This window comes from Homo sapiens, chromosome 4, assembly GCF_000001405.40.
Source record: "Homo sapiens chromosome 4, GRCh38.p14 Primary Assembly".
NCBI classification, from domain to species: Eukaryota; Metazoa; Chordata; class Mammalia; order Primates; family Hominidae; genus Homo; species Homo sapiens.
Genome location: NC_000004.12, coordinates 173,076,236 through 173,096,394, shown reverse-complemented (window position 1 = coordinate 173,096,394; position 20,159 = coordinate 173,076,236). Strand labels below are relative to the sequence as shown.

The following is a 20,159-nucleotide window of genomic DNA, read 5'->3' as shown; positions in this document are numbered from 1 at the left end:
AATGAATTTCAGTGACAGAGTGAGAAGCATTTGTTTAAAGGGGAATTCTTCCAGTCCCCATTAAATTGTTACAATCTCCTGCGTAGTAGGATAAAGATGATGTATTTAATTTGACTTCTGCATATTATAGAGTTCCCTTAGCTTTGCTATTACATCTACTTGCTTCTGTTGCTTTGAGGTCCAGTTTCATGATTCCTTGCCCTGCAGTCCTCTCCCTTACCAAATGAGATAGGATGAAGATATCTACATGACTCTAATAGACAACCTTTTCCTACTAAGTTTAAAGTTTGTATGTCTACATATAAAGGCATGGCAAAGTTTTGGCCTGTATCATCTGAATTGTACTGCTTCTTCCTGCAGAACACTTGATTGCTAGAATAGAACAGTTACAACAATACTTGTGATTCCTAGGTAATCTGAATACCCACTCTACAGCTTCACTAGCATAGATTATACATTAAAATTTGATTATACATGACCGTATATACTCTGTGTGTGTGAAAGAGAAAAAGAATATCTGTCATGAAAAAGTAAAACTAAGTCATGAATTATTCTTTCCCATCTTAAACGATTCCAGAACATAAGTGACCATTAATAAGTAAGTAAAAACAGCGTCCATTGTGCTCAGAAATTACACTCAGGCATCATTTTATATGGTATTGTGGATACTTTTGGGGATGCTGTTATGGACTGAATTGTGCCTCCCACTCCCCTAAATTTATATGTTGAAGCTCTAACCCCCAGTGTGAACACATTTGGAGATTGGGTCTTTAAAGAGGCAGTTAAGGTTAAATGAGGTCATAAGGGTAGGGCCCTAATTCAATAAGACTGGTGTCCCTATAAGAAGAGGAAGAGAGATCAGAAATCACTCTCTCTTTCAGAGTGGGTACAGAGGAAAGGCCCTATGAGGATACAGCAAGAAGGCAGCCATCTGCAAGTCAGGAAGAGACCTATCATCAGAAACCAACCATGCTGGCACCTTGATCTTGGACTTTGAGTCTCCAGAACTGTGAGAAATAAAGTTGTTGTTTAAGCCACCTAGTCTCTGATATTCTGCTACAGCAGTTTGAGCAGAGTAATATAGTTGGCTATCCAGTTAAACGCCCTATCACCTACAGCCCCATCCTCATTGCCTACTTCCTTCTAGAGAGTGAGCTCCCATAGATCTGGCTAAGTGAGTAGCAAGGAAGCAATGTAATCTTGCGACCTGAGAACAGCCATTTATCCCAGCTGTTCACACTTGATCTAAGTTTGTCCAACAGATTCACTCTAGGGGGAATTTAAAGCAGGGACTTAGAAATTCTAGTTAGTTTCTGTGAGATGCCTTAAAAGAGAAAGTATTTGAAGCCTGGGCTGTGGAACCATGTGCATGAATATTTTTGGGGAGAAGAAAAAGAATAAAGTAGATATGCAAATGTGTGAAGAGAGGAAGAGATGCTAATCCATGAGAGTAGCCTAAGAGAGACTGGAGGAGGGACCTTGGCTGTGAACTCTGAAGTGCTGACTTCCAGTCTCTTAAGAGTCCCCATTCAAGTTCTGTACTTGGTTTCTATGAAATATCTCTGATTTTTAACAAAAATTCCTTTTTGCTTCAGCTGTCTCTAAGCAACTTCTGTTGTTTTGCAACCTGATTCCTTAGTAAGACATATGGAAACATGTAAATCAAAGCCTAAAGTATGAATTAAGTAAAAATTCCACAATAAACATAAGGTTGATTCATGAATTTGCTAATCATTCTCCCTCACTGTGGAAATAATGAGAATTTTATTCTTAATCTATGGCAGTTATAGGTCTCTATAGGTTCAGTTATTTTGATTTCTTGTTCACATTCTACATTGTAAGTCTTTCTGAGGAAGATCCTGCCGTGTGTTAACAAAGGTAAGAAGAATATATTTCATTTATTCATTTAAAAAATAATTGAATATGTGCTGTGGAGAAGTTCTGGTCTGGAAAAAAGTCTTGGGCAAGCACATTTGAATCAGAACTTGTTTCTCTCTGAAGTATTTCATGTTAACTGGTGGAATAGTCACAGGATACCCAGGTATGACCACTCAGATGGTTCTTTACATAACTACAGGGGACACATTCAAGATTACTCTGGGCAGTATGCTCTGGGGTGTGCAGTACACGAATTTATACCAAATGTGGAGCCCTGAAATGACTAAGCACAGCAATATGATTAGTACTATAAAATATATAAACAAAGTCATATGAAGCACAATTAGTTCTACATGGGAAGGAAAGAACCAAAGGCAATTGGTGAAGGCTACATTGAAAAGTGAGACATTTGATGCATGACTGGTAATTTTCCAAGCAGAATAGACAGAGAATGTGGACATTCCTAGCATGGGAAATAACAAAAATGCAGACAAAGAGACATAAAAAAAATGCATGGAGGGAAGGATGGAGTAGGAACTCCCCAAATCTGCTTATCATAAAAGCAATGAGAACACTGGCAAAAATGAATAAATAAATAAATAAATAAAAATCAACTTTATCAGAGCTCTAGAAATTAACTAAAGGCTTACAACAGTTCATGGAGTATATGATCAAGAAAAATTGCAGAATCTCAGAAAAAGTAGCAAGTCTTGTAGCATTTTAACTTGCCCTAATTCTATAATTCTCCCTAAGTTCTGTCATAGCCTTGAAAACCAACAGATTCATAACAATGGTAGCTGTGAAAACCAGAAGCTTAGCACCCACTGGATGGAACAGAACAGTTTGGAGCTACACCAAAGTCCCATGCCCAGAGAACTGTCATTACTTGGCTTGTCTGGAAGCTCATGGAAAAGTTCTATTCTCAGAGTCAGGTCTATGTGACCTGACTCAAAGCTTTGACTGTGTGATGATTCCTATTTGCAAGACAATATAGCTCACAAACAGGATACAAAGCAGTCGATAGAAATTGTCTTTGTGGAAGTCCAGATGTTGGAGTTACTAGACAAACACTTTAAGCCCTCCATTATAAGCATATTCCAAGAATTCCTTCATTTAGGATATTGTAAATTATTATGAGAAAAAACAGAGTTCTATGGTCAAATACATTGATGATATAATGAGTTAAACAATTTCTGCATTGCAGGGTATGTCAGTACCTTTCCTGTGCTAATATACATAGTGATCATCTAAGAGCGATGTATTATACAGCATTTCCCAAACTTCTTTGACTATAGAAATAAAACATCAGAAAACATTTTAGAGCTTATGGGGACAGTAATGACTCTTCACATGTAGTTTAGAAAATACAGGCCTAGACCATCATCTCCTGTAATAGGGTTATTCCAAAGATAGGAACACTGTCTTATCTAATTTGCATGTCTCCTGGTACACTGTCCCATACATCCTCCTTGCTTTGTAATTCTTTAATGAAGGAATATATACAAGTGGAAAAGCTAGAGGGGAAGAAATAATTAGAGGAATAGCAACATCAACAAAGCAGGATAAAGACTTCTGGTTAGCCAGTCTCTCTTCTTCATTCCCACCCTGGTTATCCCCACCTGTATATGCTACAGGCATCTCATCTTAAGACCCAAACTGATCTTATCACAACGTGGGCTTCACAAAAGCACTTTGAATTTTGTCATTACCCTCCACCATTTCCTGTCTTTTGTTGATCCCTAAACCCAAATCCAGCTGAGCTTCAAGTTCCCATTTAACTCTGACTAGGATTTGATGGACTGACATTCACACTCACCTGTCCAGTGTTTACCATTCCCAGCCCTGGAATACAACTCCTGACATATCTGCTTTCCTCCACTTCTCCTCTATGTAATACTTCAGATCAGAAGGAATTATAGTGGTTGGGTCACTGAAGTTGTGCCGAGAACAAACCTGTCTCAGCCACATTTAATAGCGATTTCAAAGAAGGTTCCTGTGGTTACCCTGATCTAGGTAATATCTCTTCCAAACCTCCTGTACTTTTCAGTCAGTGACTCACCTCCATTCTCCAGCTCTTTTCCCACTCTACTGAGCAGCAGAGAGAGTTAAACTAAATAGCAATACAGGGAAAGGGACATTTTATTTTAGAATATTTGGTGTGGGTAGGATGAGAGCCAGTAGTAGAAGAGATCTAAGCTAGGCAAGGGCACCTCAACCTAGTCCTAGAAACAATGCAATATTATCTATTGAAGACTCCACCTCAGTGTTATCACTGACAAGCAGAGAGTGCTGTGTTAAAACAACGCAGTGAAGACAAGAGGTTAAGAAGCTAATGGTAAAGAAGAAAAACTAAAGGCATTGAAATAGCAACCGTTGTGATGCAAATTAATCTTATGTAAATGTAGAAACTTGCTAGTTCTTTAGAGCTCTCTGACAAATGTGCATTTAAGCAACAACAGTCAATTTTCCAGGAAACATCTTTATAGCATATTTTGAGTGGACCTTTTGAATAAAGCAATCAGAAATGTTTGTTATGACAATGGATAATAAAACTGCCACTTGAAAGAAACTAGCAATTGAGAGGGAGCAGCTTGACCAAATATGAAGAAGGTAAAAAAATTCCAATGGCTTGCTTTCACTGCCAGAGTATCTGAAACACACTAAGAGCACTGTCAAGGGAGCTATTCTTGAATTTTAATTCAGGTCCCCAACATGTGTCTGTCTCTTGGTTTACTTGGGAGAAACCCTGAAGGCTCAGATAGTCTTTGGAATAAGGTCACTGTAGAAGACTGACAAGGGGTCCCTGGATGATAGAGAGGGCAGACAATCCCTTCTCTCATCAGTCAATGGTGGCTGGTGGCTGTTATTCACCCTTCTGAGAAACAGGACAAAACTGATAAACTTCAAGAGCTGAAAAAAACACATCATAGAACAATAAAGCACACTGAGCATCCCAACACCCACAGCTGCAGGCAAGGTGCCAAAATCTGTTAAGGCAAAAGTCACAGGCCCAGTGAAGCGATGGAGAGTGGGCAGGCACTGGGCAGAAAGGGTGGGGGCAAAATAAAGTAATTGGATCTGGTGAAAGAAGACAGGAAGGCTGAAGAAAAAGGTGATCAAAAATATGAATATAGACATATACATATGCAACTTGTATTTCTGCATGTAAACATCAAATGTGACAAGTATTTATCGAACAGAAATGCAGTAAAGCACGTTCCACATCTGAAGGTTACAGTGCCACCAATGTCCATTCTATTTGAGTTTAAGATTATCACTATGAGTTACTGGACCCGTCTCCTTATATTTGCATAGGTTTTTGAATTTTAATGACTTTGTTTTTTTCTTTTGAGATGGAGTCTCACTGTATCGCCCAGGCTGGAGTGCCATGGTGCAATCTCAGCTCACTGCAACCTCCCCTCCTGGGCTCAAGCAATTCTCCTGCCTCAGCCTCCTGAGTAGCTGGGATTACAGGCGCCCACCACCATGCCCAGGTAATTTTTGTGCTATTAGTAGAGACGGAGTTTCACCATATTGGCCAGGCTGGTCTTGAACTCCTGACCTCAGGTGATCCGCCTGCCTCAGCCTCCCAAAGTGCTGGGATTACAGGCGTGAGCCACCGTGCCTGGCCTAATAACTTATATTTGGTTATCATGGAGATGATAAATTCAAAATATTTATGTTTCTTTTTCCAACACCAAATGAAACAATAAAATTTACACATTGTCTCTGCTAAGTATAAAACTGCAAAGGCTCCAAGATTTTACTCTTATTGAAAGATAACAAGTTAAACTGCCCCAGCTTTATCTACATATACTGACATAAGAGCACAAGATCCCTGAGCCTGCAAAACAGATCATTTATTACTCCCTGCAAAAACCGCAGCCAAAGAGCATCATGTACTGGTTCCCACATCCCAATCACTGCATAGTGATGTGATGAGGACCAGATGTTACCTGTGTATGCAGCAGGGTACATCACAGGAGAGGAATCCCCCAATTCGGAGACTCTTAGCTAAATTGGGCTCCTGGAGCATCTTCCCATCTCCTCCCCTCTAGAGAGAGAGATTCCTCATTATCCTGGAATGTAAGTAAATGATTCTAGGTGGAGAAGAGGTTCATATCTTTATTAACATAGAATGTCTCTGGCGAGGCATGTCTCTATCACTTAATCTCTGCAGAGGATTACACTATCTCTAGCTCCCAAGGCTGTTCTTAAAAAGTGTTCTTCATTCAGAAGGCCTGAGCCATGCAGAAATGAAAGATATCCATGAAGAATTGTCCCCCAACAGCTTCAATTTCTCAAAAATTTAATTTAGTTTTTTTCAAAAAGGCTTTAATTTTGTTTATTTCTACTATCCTTTTATGTTTTACGATTTTTGAAAAATTGTTGTCTTCTTTTCACACTGTAGGCTTTCATATTTCTATTATATAGAAAAGTCTTCACCCAAAGACTTATTTGATTTTGTTATTGTTATTATCATTATTTTGAGATAAGCATTTGCTCTGTCATCCAGACTGGAGTGCAGTGGCGTGATCATAGCTCACTGTAGCCTCAAACTCCTGGGATCAAGTGATCCTCCTCCCTCAGCCTCCCAAGAAGCTAGGACTACAGATATGCACCACCATGACTGGCTTTTTTTTTTTTTGGTAGAGATGGGTTCTCAATATGTTGCCCAGGCTGGTCTCAAACTCCTGGCCTCAAGTGATCCTCCCATCTCGGCCTCCCAAAGAGGTAAGATTACAGGTGTGAGTCACTGTGCCGGGCCTGATTTCATTATTTACTCAATATTAAAATTTATATGGGTTCTCTATGATATTGTAGAAAATTCAACCAGTGTAAAAGTATACAAAAACAACCTTGAAAATCCCACTATCCAGAGATAACTGGGTACATACATCCATATGTAGAAATAAGATATTTTACCTTAATGAGGTCATTAAATACTGCTTTAAAGTCTTCTTTCATTGGACACTATGTCATTGACTCCTTTTCCTATGAATTCATATAGAGCTATAGCATGCTTTGAATGTCTGGTTTTAATTTGCCATTGAAACGGCACACTTTTTAATGGTAGTAAGAACTACAATGGAAGAGAAAGTTGGCCCCAGAATTTGCTTCTTTAGGCTTAACTTGCTTTCTCTTTATAGATTACTTGCCCTTTCTTGAAGATGATCTTCAAACCAAAGGCTCTTCTACAAAGCCTTGTATTTCCCTCAGGCTAACATAGGATAGAGATCCTTTTTCTTCACAGGGTTTAAGAATAAACTAAAAGCGGGACCTGAATATCCACAGGATTTTCCCTTTACTTCTCATCTTTGCTCCTTATCCTGGAACATGGCTGCCTACAGCTCGTTTGTTTCAGATTTCCTCCTAGTATATAACATAATATAACATATGCCCTTCCCTAGCTTGCTTCTTTAGTTCTCCTAACCACTATGCAGCTATACTTCCCTTCTTTTTGGCACAACATTGTGTCTTGTCCATCATCTTTCTACTGTGCATACGTGACTTTACAATAAGATTCATACAAGAAATTTGTCACCCATCTGACAAGGAATTGATAATGAGAATATATAAGGAGCTCAAGCAACTCAATAACAAAAGAACAAGTAATCTAATTAAAAATGAGCAAAAGATCTGAATAGACATTTCTCAAAAGAAGACATGAAAATGGGCCGGGTGTGGTGGCTCACGCCTGTAATCCCAGCACTTTGGGAGGCCAAGGCAGGTGGATCACTTGAGGACAGGAGTTCCACACCAGCCTAGCCAATGTAATGAAACCCCATCTCTACTTAAGATACAAAAATTAGCCGGGCATGGTGGCGCATGCCTGTAATCCCAGCTACTCGGGGGGCTGAGGCTCGAAAACCGTTTTAACCAGGAAGGCAGAGGTTGCAGTGAGCTGAAATCATGTCACTGCGCTCCAGCCTGGGTGACAGAGCGAGACTCTGTCTCAAAACAAACAAACAAACAGACATACAAATGGCAAACAGGTACAAGAAAAATGCCCAACATCACTAATCTTCAGAGAAATGCAAATAGAACTACAATGAGATATCATCTCATCCCAGTTAAAATGGCTTTTGTAAAAAAGTCAAGCAATAATGGATGCTGGCAAGGATGTTCAGAAAGGGGAACCCTCACACACTGGGTGGGAATGTAAATTAGTATAGCCACTATGGAGAACAGTATGGAGGTTCCTCAAAAAACTAAAAATAGAACTCCCATATGACCTTGCAATCTCACTGTGGTGTATATATGTAAAAGAAAGGAAATCAGTATACTGAAGAGGAATCTTCACTTCCATGTTTATTGCAGCACTGCTCACAATAACCAAGACATGGAATCAGCCTAAGTGTTCATCAACAGAAGAATGGATAAACAAAGTGTGGTACATATACACAATGGAAATCTGTTCAGCCATAAAAAAGAATGAAATCCGGTTGTTTGCAACAACGTGGATGGAACTGGATGACATTATGTTAAGTGAAACAAGCCAGGCACAGAAAGATAAATATTGCATATTCTCACTCATATATATGGGGCTAAAAAAAGTTGATCTTCTGAATGTAGGGAGTAGAATGATAGATACCAGAGTCAGTAAGGGTAGTGGGGAGGTGGGGGATAAAAAGGGGTTGGTTAATGCATACATACAGTTAGATAGAAGGAATACGATATAATGTTTGGTTGCACAAAAGGATGGCTATAATTGACAATAATTTATCTTATATTTCAAAATAACCGAAAGAGAGCAATTGGAACATTCCAAACACAAAGAAATGATAAATGTTTGAAATGATGGATACCTCAGTTATCCCAATTTGATCATTACACATTGTATGTTTGTATCAAAGTATCACATCTACTCCATAAATATGTGCAACTATTATATATCCGTAATAATTTTTCTAAAAGAAGTTTGCATGGTGGTAATACCATCAAGTGAAAACTGCCTTTCCTCTCTCTCTTTAACACTATATTGATAATATACTTGTTTCTTTAAATTGTGAATGCTGACTTTTCCTGCATATGACATTGAAAACCAAGTTTTCTCAGACCATCCTCGAAGTTTTAAGAACAAAGCAGTGATGTTATAAACACAGGAGCTTTCCCTCTGCTTAGCATCTTATTCATATCACTCACTTGTAGGGATGCATAAATTCATTTGTTTATGTAAGGTGGTTCACCTTCCTTCACAAACTTGGTTCCCAGGAAAGCAAGGGAAAACTCTGAGATGAAGTTTAGTCGTCAGTATAGTAATTAAGGAATGCTTTTGATATCAATGCATAAGAAAGGGAGGGGAGGAAGCAGAAGAGGGTAGATGGAGAAGACAAAGTGTTATGCAGACCCATCGACAGTGTTAACCAACCCCACCGGGAACTCTGGAGCTAGAATGGCCCTTCAGAGATGTCCTGAGTTGGGTCAAAGTGGCCAGACCTTTAGGTCCTTGAATTGAAGAGTGACTGAATGTGGGCTTTCCTGAGAAGGGACATGACCTTGAGCAGGGCTCTTCTGCCAACTGAGGCAGTCCCTGAAGGGGCTACCAACTGAAGGTACCCAGCACCTCCAGGAGTTGAGGTAAAGGGTCCTTCTCTGCTTGCAGGGGTCTGGGCAGCATATCATAGTGTCCACCCCACCTTCCTGAGAATTGGTCCCTTCTACGCTTTGTTTTGGAAACAGTTCTGTGCAGTGCTCCTTTTAAAGATCTTTTTTATTTTCTTTTCCTCTGGCTAAACTTCAATCTATTTCTAGTTCCTAAGCCCACTACCGTTCTTTAGTCTCTCCTTGTATACTTAAAATATCTGTAGGAGATGTCTTTAATCTTGCTTGATTTCTCTTCTTCCCTTATCAGTTTTGACTCTGTTGACGGAACTGTCTCTCAGATGTTGTCTTTTGATATCTCACTCTGGTATTTTACCTTTGTTTTTTCTAGCACGTGCTTGATGAATATGCTCGCAGTTGGGAATGTTTACTTTGCTCTTTAAAAATCTTTGGGTTTGTGCTTTCCATTGAGAGTTTCTATGTATTGTAATATGTTTCCTCTTTTCTGACACATTGAAAGAACAGATCCCCACTCCCTTAGATCATTTCTCTTACATTTTTCAGTTTCTTTCAGTTGTGATGGGAATTTTCTTGTGTTTCATTGCCAAAGCTCCCATTTCAGAAAGCTTAATGAGTAAATGAAACAAAAGTTCCTATTTGAGTATATTATGGGATGCAGACAAGCCTAGATTCATAGATGGTGCTATAAGAAGTTTATCTGCATGAAGCGAGGTAAAGGCATTTTGCCCTACACCCTGGGAAAAGGGAGGAAAGGAATGAAGGAGGCCACACAGTTTGTATCTTTCATATAGGATCCCACCCTCGGATGAGTCTCAAGACAGAGGCTCAAAGGGAAGCTGAGAGGGCTGTAACCGCAAGAGGCCCACTGCAACACACAAGTGGCCCTGCTCCAGTGCCAATGTGACACATGTGACCCAGTGGGGATGGGACAGGGCCTCTCTCCTTTTCTTCAGGGAATTCACTCCAGTTCACAGAAGACTACAGGAAACACAGGGTTGATTTGGCAGCACAAAGGTTTGCTTGAAGATATGCCAGGCATCAGGAAGGAGCAACCTTGGCGTGGAAGCCTGGTGGCAAACTGGCCTGCAAGACACTTCATGACAGAAAGGTTTAGTGGCTCACTGTGTGCTGCCTACACACACATACCTCATCTCCCACACCTCATTTTCCCAAATGGCCTTTGTATCTTTAGCAACATGCATTACCCTCATGAGTCCTTAGAATGAGTAGGACCCTAACTTGTTTTTCATTGGTTTGGTGGATACCAAGGAAGGAAGACACATATTGCTCTCGTGGGTCATTGCAGCAAGATAGAGAGCACATGGGAGCAGGAACCAGAAATGGGAGTTTGCCTTGATAATACCCAGGGAAACCACTGAAGTATTGGGGAGGGCGTGAATATCCACTGGGTGTGGATAGGGGTTCAGTATGATTGTATTTAAATTTCAAGGAGCAGGAGACCTCAGATGATAGCTGGGTTACATAAAAATCCCTCTCCTGCTTGGCATTCTGCTGGCAACCCTGTTGACTACTGTTATGGATTGAATGACGTCCTCCTAAAATTCGTATGTTAAACCCTAACCCCAGTACCCTAGAATGTGACCTTATTTGGACTGAGAATTGTTGCTGATAAAATTGATTAAGTTGGCATGAAGTCATCCTGGAATAGGGTGGTCCTCTAATCCACTGTGACTAGTATTCTTATAAGAAGGGGAAATGTGTGTAATCCTAGCACTTTGGGAGGCCGAGGTGGGTGGATCACTTGAGGCCAGGAGTTCAAGACCAGCCTGGCCAACATAACGAAACCCTGTCTCTACTAAAAATGCAAAAATCAGCTGGACATGGTGGCACATGCCTGTAATTCCAGCTACTTGGGAGGCTGAGGCATGAGAATTGCTTGAGCCTGGGAGGCAGAGGTTGCAGTGAGCCAAAATGGCACCACTGCACTCCAGCCTGGGTGACAGAGCAAGACCCTGTCTTAAAAAAAAAAAAAAAAGTGGGGGATTCCCAGGCAAGGTGGCCGAATAGGAACAGCTCTGGTCTGTAGCTCCCAGCAAGACCAACGCAGAAGGTGGGTGATTTCTGCATTTCCAATTGAATGGCTCCTGGAACGCCAGCAAGGCAGAATTGTTCACTCCCCTGGAAAGGGGGCTGAGGCCAGGGAGCTGAGTTGTCTTGCGCAGCAGATCCCACCCCTGTGGAGCCCAACAAGCTAAGATCCACTGGCTTGAAATTCTTGCTGCCAGCACAGCAGTCTGAAGTCAACGTGGGATGCTCGAGCTTGGTGGGGGAAGGGGCATCCACCATTACTGAGGCCTTAGTAGGTGGTTTTCCCTCACAGTGTAAACAAAGCTGCTGGGAGATTCGAACTGGTCAGAACCCACTACAGTGTGGCAAAGCCGCTGTAGCCAGACTGCCTCTCTAGATTCCTCCTCTCTGGGCAGGGCATCTCTGAAAGAAAGGTAGCAGCCCCAGTCAGGGGCTTATACATAAAACTCTCATCTCTCTGAGACAGAGCACCTGGGGGAAGGCACAGCTTCAGCAGACTTAAACGTTCCTGCCTGTCAGCCCTGAAGAGAGCAGTAGATCTCCAAGCACAGCATTCAAGCTCTGATAAGGGTCAGACTGCCCCCTCAAGTGGGTCCCTGATCCCTGTGCCTCCTGATGGGGAGACACCTCCCAGCAGGGGTTGACAGACATCTCATACAGGAGGGCTCCGGCTGGCATCTGGCAAGTGCCCCTCTGGAATGAAGCTTCCAGAGGAAGGAGCAGGCAGCAATCTTTGCTGCTCTGCAGCCTCTGCTGGTGATACCCAGGCAAACAGGTTCTGGAGTGGACCCCTAGCAAACTCCAGCAGACCTGCAGAAGAGGGGCCTGGCTGTTAGAAAGAAAACGAACAGAAAGATAGCATCAACATCAACAAAAAGGATAACCCTGCAAAAACCCCATCTGAAGGTTGCCAACATCAAAGACGAAAAGTAGGTAAATCCCCGAAGATGAGGAAAAGCCAGTGCAAAAAGGCTGAAAATTCCAAAAACAAGAATGCCTCTTCTCCTACAAAGGATCACAACTCCTTGCCAGCAAGGGAACAAAACTGGATAGAGAATGAGTTTGATGAATAGATAGAAGTAGGCTTCAGAAGGTGGGTAATAAAAAACTCCTCTGAGCTAAAGGAGCATGTTCTAACCCAATGCAAGGAAGCTAAGAACCTTGATAAAAGGTTACAGGAACAGCTAACTAGAATAACCAGTTTAGAGAAGAACATTAATGACCTGATGGAGCTGAAAAACAGAGCATGAGAACTTCGTGAATCATACACAAGTATCAATAGCCAAATCTATCAAGCAGAAGAAAGGATATCAGAGATTGAAGATCAACTTAATGAAATAAAGCATGAAGACAAGATTAGAGAAAAAAGAATGAAAAGGAATGAACAAAGCTTCCAAGGAATATGGGACTATGTGAAAAGACCAAACCTACGTTTGATTGATGTACATGAAAGTGACAGGGAGAATGGAACCAAGTTGGAAAACACCCTTCAGGAAATTATCCAGGAGAACTTCCCTAACCTAGCAAGACAAGCCAACATTCAAATTCAGGAAAGCTCTGATAAGGGTCAGACTGAGAAGAGCAACCCCAAGACACATAATTTTCAGATTCACCAAGGTTGAAATGATGGAAAAAATATTAAGGGTAGCCAGAGAGAAAGATCGGGTTGTGCACAAAGGGAAGCCCAACAATGGATCTCTCGGCAGAAATTCTACAAGCCAGAAGTGAGTGGGGGCCAGTATTCAACATTCTTAAAGAAAAGAATTTTCAACCCAGAATTTCATATCCAGTCAAACTAAGCTTCATAAATGAAGGAGAAATAAAATCCTTTACAGACAAGCAAATGCTGAGGGATTTTGTCACCAACAGGCCTGCCTTACAAGAGGCCCTGAAGGAATCACTAAATATGGAAAGGAAAAACTGGTACCAGCCACTGCAAAAATACACCAAAATGTAAAGACCATTGACACTATGAAGAAACTGCATCAACTAATGGGCAAAACAAACAGCTGGCATCATAATGACAGGATCAAATTCACACATAACAATATTAACCTTAAATGTAAACAGGCTAAATGCCCCAATTAAAAGACACAGACTGCCAAATTGGATAAAGAGTCAAGACCCATCAGTGTGCTGTATTCAGAAGACCCATCTCATGTGCAAAGACACACATAAGCTCAAAATAAAGGAATGGAGGAAGATTTACCAAGCAAATGGAAAGCAAAAAAAAGAGTAGAGGTTACGATTCTAGTCTCTGATAAAATAGACTTTAAACCAACAAAGATCAAAAAAGACAAAGAAGGGCTTTACACAATGGTAAAGGGATAAATGCAACAAGAAGAGCTGACTATCCTAAATATATATGCACCCAATACAGGAGCACCCAGATTCATAAAGCAAGTTCTTAGAGACCTACAAAGAGACTGAAACCCCCACACAATAATAGTGGGAGACTTTCACACCCTACTGTCAATGTTAGACACATCAATGAGACAGAAAATTAGCAAGGATATACAGGACTTGAACTCAGCTCTGGACCAAGCAGATCTAATAGACATCTACAGAACTCTCCACCCCAAATCAACAGAATATACATTCTTCTCAGCACCACATCACACTTATTCTAAAATCGACTACATAATTGGAAGTAAAACACTCCTTAGCAAATGCAAAAGAAAAGAAATCATAACAAAGAGTCTCTCAGGCCACAGTGCAATCAAATTAGAACTCAGGATTAAGAAACTCAGTCAAAACCATACAACTACATGGAAACTGAACAACCTTCTCCTGAATGACTACAGGGTAAATAATGAAATTAAGGCAGAAATAAATAAGTTCTTTGAAACCAATGAGAACAAAGACACAATGTACCAGAATCTCTGGGACAAAACTAACTCAGTGTTTAGAGGGAAATTTATAGCACTAAATGCCCACATGAAAAAGTGGGAAAGATCTAAAATTGACAACCTAACACCACAATTAAAAGAACTAGAGAAGCAAGAGCAAACAAATTCAAAAGCTAGCAGAAGACAAAAAATAACTAAGATCAGAGCAGAACTGAAGGAGATAGAGACACGAAACACCCATCAAAAAGTCAATGAATCCAGGAACTGTTTTTTGAAAAGATTAACAAAATAGAGAGGCCACTAGCCACACTAATAAAGAAGAAAAGAGAGAAGAATCAAATAGACACAATAAAAAAATGATAAAGGGGATATCACCACTGATCCCACAGAAATACAAACTACCATCAGAGAATACTATAAACACCCCTAGGCAAGTAAACAAGAAAATCTAGAAGAAATGGATAAATTCCTGGACACATACACCCTCCCAAGACTAAACCCCCTTCAGCTCCCAAAAAGCTGAATCCCTGAATAAATCAATAACAGCTTCTGAAATTGAGGCAGTGATTAATAGCCTACCAACCAGCCAAAAAAAAAAAAAAAAAAAACAACCCAGGACCAGGTGGATTCATAGCTGAATTCTACCACAGGTACAAAGAGGAGCTGGTATCATTCCTTCTGAAACTATCCAAACAATAGATAAAGAGGGACTCCTCCCTAACTCATTTTAGGAGGCCAGCATCATCCTGATACCAAAACCTGGTAGAGACACAACAAAAAAAGAACATTTCAGGCCAATATCCCTGATGAACATCTATGTAAAAATTCTCAATAAAATACTGGCAAACCTAATCCAGCAGCACATTAAAAAGCTTATCCACTGTGATGAAGTTGGCTTCATCCCTGTAATGCAAGACTGGGTCAACAAACGCAAATCAATAAATGTAACCCATCACATAAACAGAACCAATGACAAAAACCACATGATTATCTCAATAGACGCAGAAAAGCTCTTTGATAAAATTCAACAACGTTCGTGCTAAAAACACTCAATAAACTAGGTATTGTCGGAATGTATCTCAAAATAATAAGAGCTATTTAGGACAAACCCACAACCAATATCATACTGAATGGGCAAAAGCTGGAAGCATTCCCTTTGAAAACCAGCACAAGACAAGGATGCCCTCTCTCACCACTCCTATTCAACATAGTATTGGACGTTCTGGCCAGGGCAGTCAGGCAAGAGAAAGAAATAAAGGGTATTTAAATAGGAAGACAGGAAGTCAAATTATCTCTGTTTGCAGATGACATGATTGTATATTTAGAAAACCCCATTGTCTCAACCCAAAACTCCTTAAGCTGATAAGCAACTTCAGCAAAGTCTCAGGATACAAAATCAATGTGCAAAAATCACAAGCATTCCTATACACCAATAATAGACAAACAGAGAGCCAAATCATAAGTAAACTTCCATTCACAACTACTACAAAGAGAATAAAATACCTAGGAATATAACTTAAAGGAATGTGAAGGACCTCTTCAAGGAGAAGTACAAACCACTGCTCAAGGAAAGAAGAGAGGACACAAACAAATGGAAAAACATGCCATGCTCATGGATAGGAAGAATCAGTATCATGGAAATGGCCATACTGCCCAAAGTACTTTATAGATTCAGTGCTATACCCATTAAGCTACCATTGGCTTTCTTCACAGAATTAGAAAAAACTACTTTAAATTTCACATGGAACCAAAAAAGAGCCTGTATAGCCAAGACAGTCCTAAGGCAAAAAGAACAAAGCTGGAGGCCTCATGCTACCTGACTTCAAACCATACTACAAGGCTACAGTAACCAAAACAGCATGGTACTGGTACCAAAACAGATATACAGACCGATGGAACAGAATAGAGGCCTCAGACATAACATTGCACATCTACAACCATCTGATCTTTGACAAATTTGAGAAAAACAAGCAATGGGGAAACGATTCCCTATTTAATAAATGGTGTTGGGAAAACTGGCTAGCCATATGCAAAAAACTGAAACTGGACCCTTTCCTTCCACCTTATACAAAAATTAACTCAAGATGGATTAAAAATGTGAACATAAGACCTAAAACCATAAAAACCTTTGAAGAAAACCTAAGCAATACCATTCAGGGCATAGGCATGGGCAAAGACTTCATGACCAAACACCAAAAGCAATGGCAACAAAAGCCAGAATTGACAAATGAGATCTAATTAAACTAAAGAGCTTCTGCACAGCAAAAGAAACTATCATCAGAGTAAACAGGCAACCTACAGAATGGGAGAACATTTTTGCAATCTATCCATCTGACAAAGGGCTGATATCCAGAATCTACAAGGAACTTAAACAAATTACAAGAAAAAACTAACCCCATCAAAAAGTGGGCAAAGGATATGAAAAGACACTTCTCAAAAGAAGACATTTATGCAGCCAACAAACATATGAAAAAAAGCTCATCATCACTGGTCATTAGAGAAATGCAAATTATAACCACAATGAGATACCATTTCACGTCAGTTAGAATGGCAATCATTAAAAAGTCAGGAAACAACAGATGCTGGAGAGGATGTGGAGAAATCAGAACACTTTTACACTGTTGGTGGGAGTGTAAATTAGTTCAACCATTGTGGAAGACAGTGTGGCGATTCCTCAAGGATCTAGAACCAGAAATACCATTTGACCCAGCAATCCCATTACTAGGTATATACTCAAAGGATTAGAAATTATTCTACTATAAAGACACATGCACACATATATGTTTATTGCAGCGCTATTTACAATAGAAAGGACTTGGAACTAACCCAAATGCCCATCAATGATAGACTGGATAAAGAAAATGTGGCACATATACACCATGGAATACTATGTAGCCATAAAAAAGGATGAGTTCATGTCCTTTGCAGGGACATGGATGAAGCTGGAAACCATCATTCTCAGCACAGGAATAGAGAACTAAACACCACATGTTCTCATTCATAAGTGGGAGTTGAACAATGAGAACATATGGGCACAGGGAGGGGAACATCACACACCAGGGCCTGTCGGGAAGTGGGAGGCAAGAGGAGTGATAGCATTAGAAGAAATACCTAATGTAGATGATGGGTTGATGGGTGCAGCAAACCACCATGGCATGTGTATACCTATGTAACAAACCTGCACATTCTGCACATATATCCCGGAACTTAAAGTATAAAAAAAATTGAGAAGTTTGGACACAGATATGCACAGAAGAATGTCATGTGAAGGGACACAGAAGATCTTCGTCTATGGCCAAGTCCAGAAGCCTGGAACAGATCCTTCTCTGAACAGCCCTAGAAGGAACCAACCCTGCTGATTCCTTGATTTCAGACTCCTACCCTCCAGAATGTTTAAGCCACTGAGTTTGTGTTATTTTATTATGACAGCCTTAGCAAGCTAATACTACCACTGAGAGGAGCCCTGATGCTAGTCGCTTCACACTTTGTCTTTTCATTGTCTATAATTTTGAAAAAATTAGTTTGAAAAGTGTATCTTGAGCTTTGTAGTCTTCTCTTACTACCTGTTTACATGTATGTGCTATTTATTTTGCTTTTCTCTTCTAAAAGTTTTGCTTTCTTCACGATTGTATGATGGTGTCACCACTTCTAGGTTCCCTGTAAACTCCCCCTTCTTTCTTACTTTGACTCTTCAGGTTCTCCTTTCAATTTCATCTCATATTCTAATTTCCATTATATAATTTGTACCCTTTGCTATTCCTTTCTCCTGTAGGTGAGTTCCATGAACTGCAGATCCAGAATTCTTATTTTCTTTGTTTTTTTTCTCTGCAGCTTATCTGAATGTTCTCACTCCGTGTCATTCTTCTAACAATGGCAAACCTTTTGAAACAAATATACTCTTGATCACTTTCTTTGGTAAATATGATGATTGTTTCCTTTCACCCTATCACAACCTGAAGTCCATTAAAAGTCTGTCAATGTGGCCAGACTCAGTGGCTCACACCTGTAATCCTAGCACTTTGGGAGTGCTAGGATTTGGGAGGAGTCAAAAGTTATACATATACTTTTGACTGCGAGTAAGGTCAGTGCTCCTAACTCCTTCATTATTCAAGGGTCAACTGTAATCTACGTCTTTTCTGGAAACCCCTTCTTAGGGTCTATTTTCCTTTGTTTTTGGACCCTTTTTATTTTAATTCCCACCCTTGAAGGTAACATTGCTGTGACTAATTTCCTTCATCTCCCTTCCTCCTTACCTATTAAAAAAATAATTTTTTTAATAGAGACAGAGTCTTGCTATGTTGCCCAGGCTGGTCTCAAACTCCTGGGCTCAAGTGATCTTACCTTGGCCTCCCAAAGTGCTGGGATTACAGGCATGAGCCACTGCGACCAGCCCTCCTTGCTTTTTTAATGATAAATTCTTCAGCATTTTGCAAAGGGATTTCCTCTTTGTGATTAGCATTTCTCCTGAATGTTTTCTAGTATTGTCTTCCCCAGTTACCGTCATGAAAATTAATAGACAAAACCCATTAAAACCACGTCTTTTGGGAGCCATATCACAGTTGTCTCAGTTTTTCACTTTTCATTGACTACTACTGGTTTCATGCCAACACAGATGGTCAAGAAAGTCATGATGATGAGCCATAAATGCTACATAGTAAAAACAAAACTCTTCAGTGTGATGTAATAACATTTAAAAATAATTACAAAGATCATCACCTCACTTAATATTTACCTGATGAGAAGCTTACAGTGGCCTTTTTTGTTAGTTTTTTCCTATCCTGAAGAATGTTGAAATCATAGTAGGAAAAATAGCTTTAAAAACTGTTATACTTTGAGCCTATATTTTACTTAAATGCTGTTAAACTTTTATGAAAGCATTACAGGCATTACAGTAAAAACCAAAAGCCTTGGGAGGCTATTAATAATTTAGTGTCTTGAGTTCATGTGGGAATGTTAATCCCACTTACTAAAGAAGAGTTCAGTATGAGTCACTATGATTAAGACCTTGTAACTGTGGAGATGCAGAAGTGTGAAAGTATGCTATTATAGATATATTGAGTATAAAATCCAAATATACCAACTGAATAGATTGTGAATGTGCATCCCTGATTAATATTCCTTGAAGGTCTTACTTTAAAAGTTAAACTCCGCCTGTAATCCCAGCACTTTGGGAGGCCGAGGTGGGCAGATGACCTGAGGTCAGGAGTTTGAGACCAGTCTGGCTAACATGGTGAAACCCTGTTTCCACTAAAAATACAAAAAATTAGCCAGGTGTGGTGGTGCGTGCCTGTAATACCAGCTACTTGGGAGGCTGAAACAGGAGAATCGCTTGAACCTGGGAGGCAGAGGTTGCAGTGAGCCGAGATCATGCCATTGCACTCCAGCATGGGCAACAAGAGTGAAACTCCATCTCAAAAAAAAAAAAAAGTGGAATGTTATCCAAACATTCCACTTTTTTGGTGCTTCTGAGACTATCTGATAGGCCTATAATAGCAGCTTTAACTATCTTAGGGTTGAGCTAGCTAAACCAAAAATGTGATCTTTCAAATACCCAATAGTGTTTATAATTTAAAAGAAATGATGGTATCATTCCATAAACTTTTCACAGAGTAAAAAGGATAGACTTGGAAGAGCAAGGGCAGATGGTCTGGAGAAATGGAAGCATAGATTTTGAGGTTGCCTTGGGGATAGTTGTGCATTTTTGCATACCACATATGCCTCTGAGAATAGAGAGAGGGTTGGGGTTCTCCTTGCTCTTCAATGCTGTTTTTGGGTAGCTTCCACAGTCTTGTTGAAAATTGTGCTTCATTGAGGCAT

General features: G+C 40.1%; 1 annotated feature.

Annotated features, from left to right (window-relative positions):
- Nucleotides 11,870–12,603: an enhancer, noted in NCBI's record as "H3K27ac-H3K4me1 hESC enhancer chr4:174004943-174005676 (GRCh37/hg19 assembly coordinates)". NCBI's record gives its function as "activates a minimal SCP1, AML or CMV promoter by ChIP-STARR-seq in naive H9 embryonic stem cells {active_cell/tissue: H9 hESC(naive)}" and the evidence as "EXISTENCE:reporter gene assay evidence [ECO:0000049][PMID:30033119]".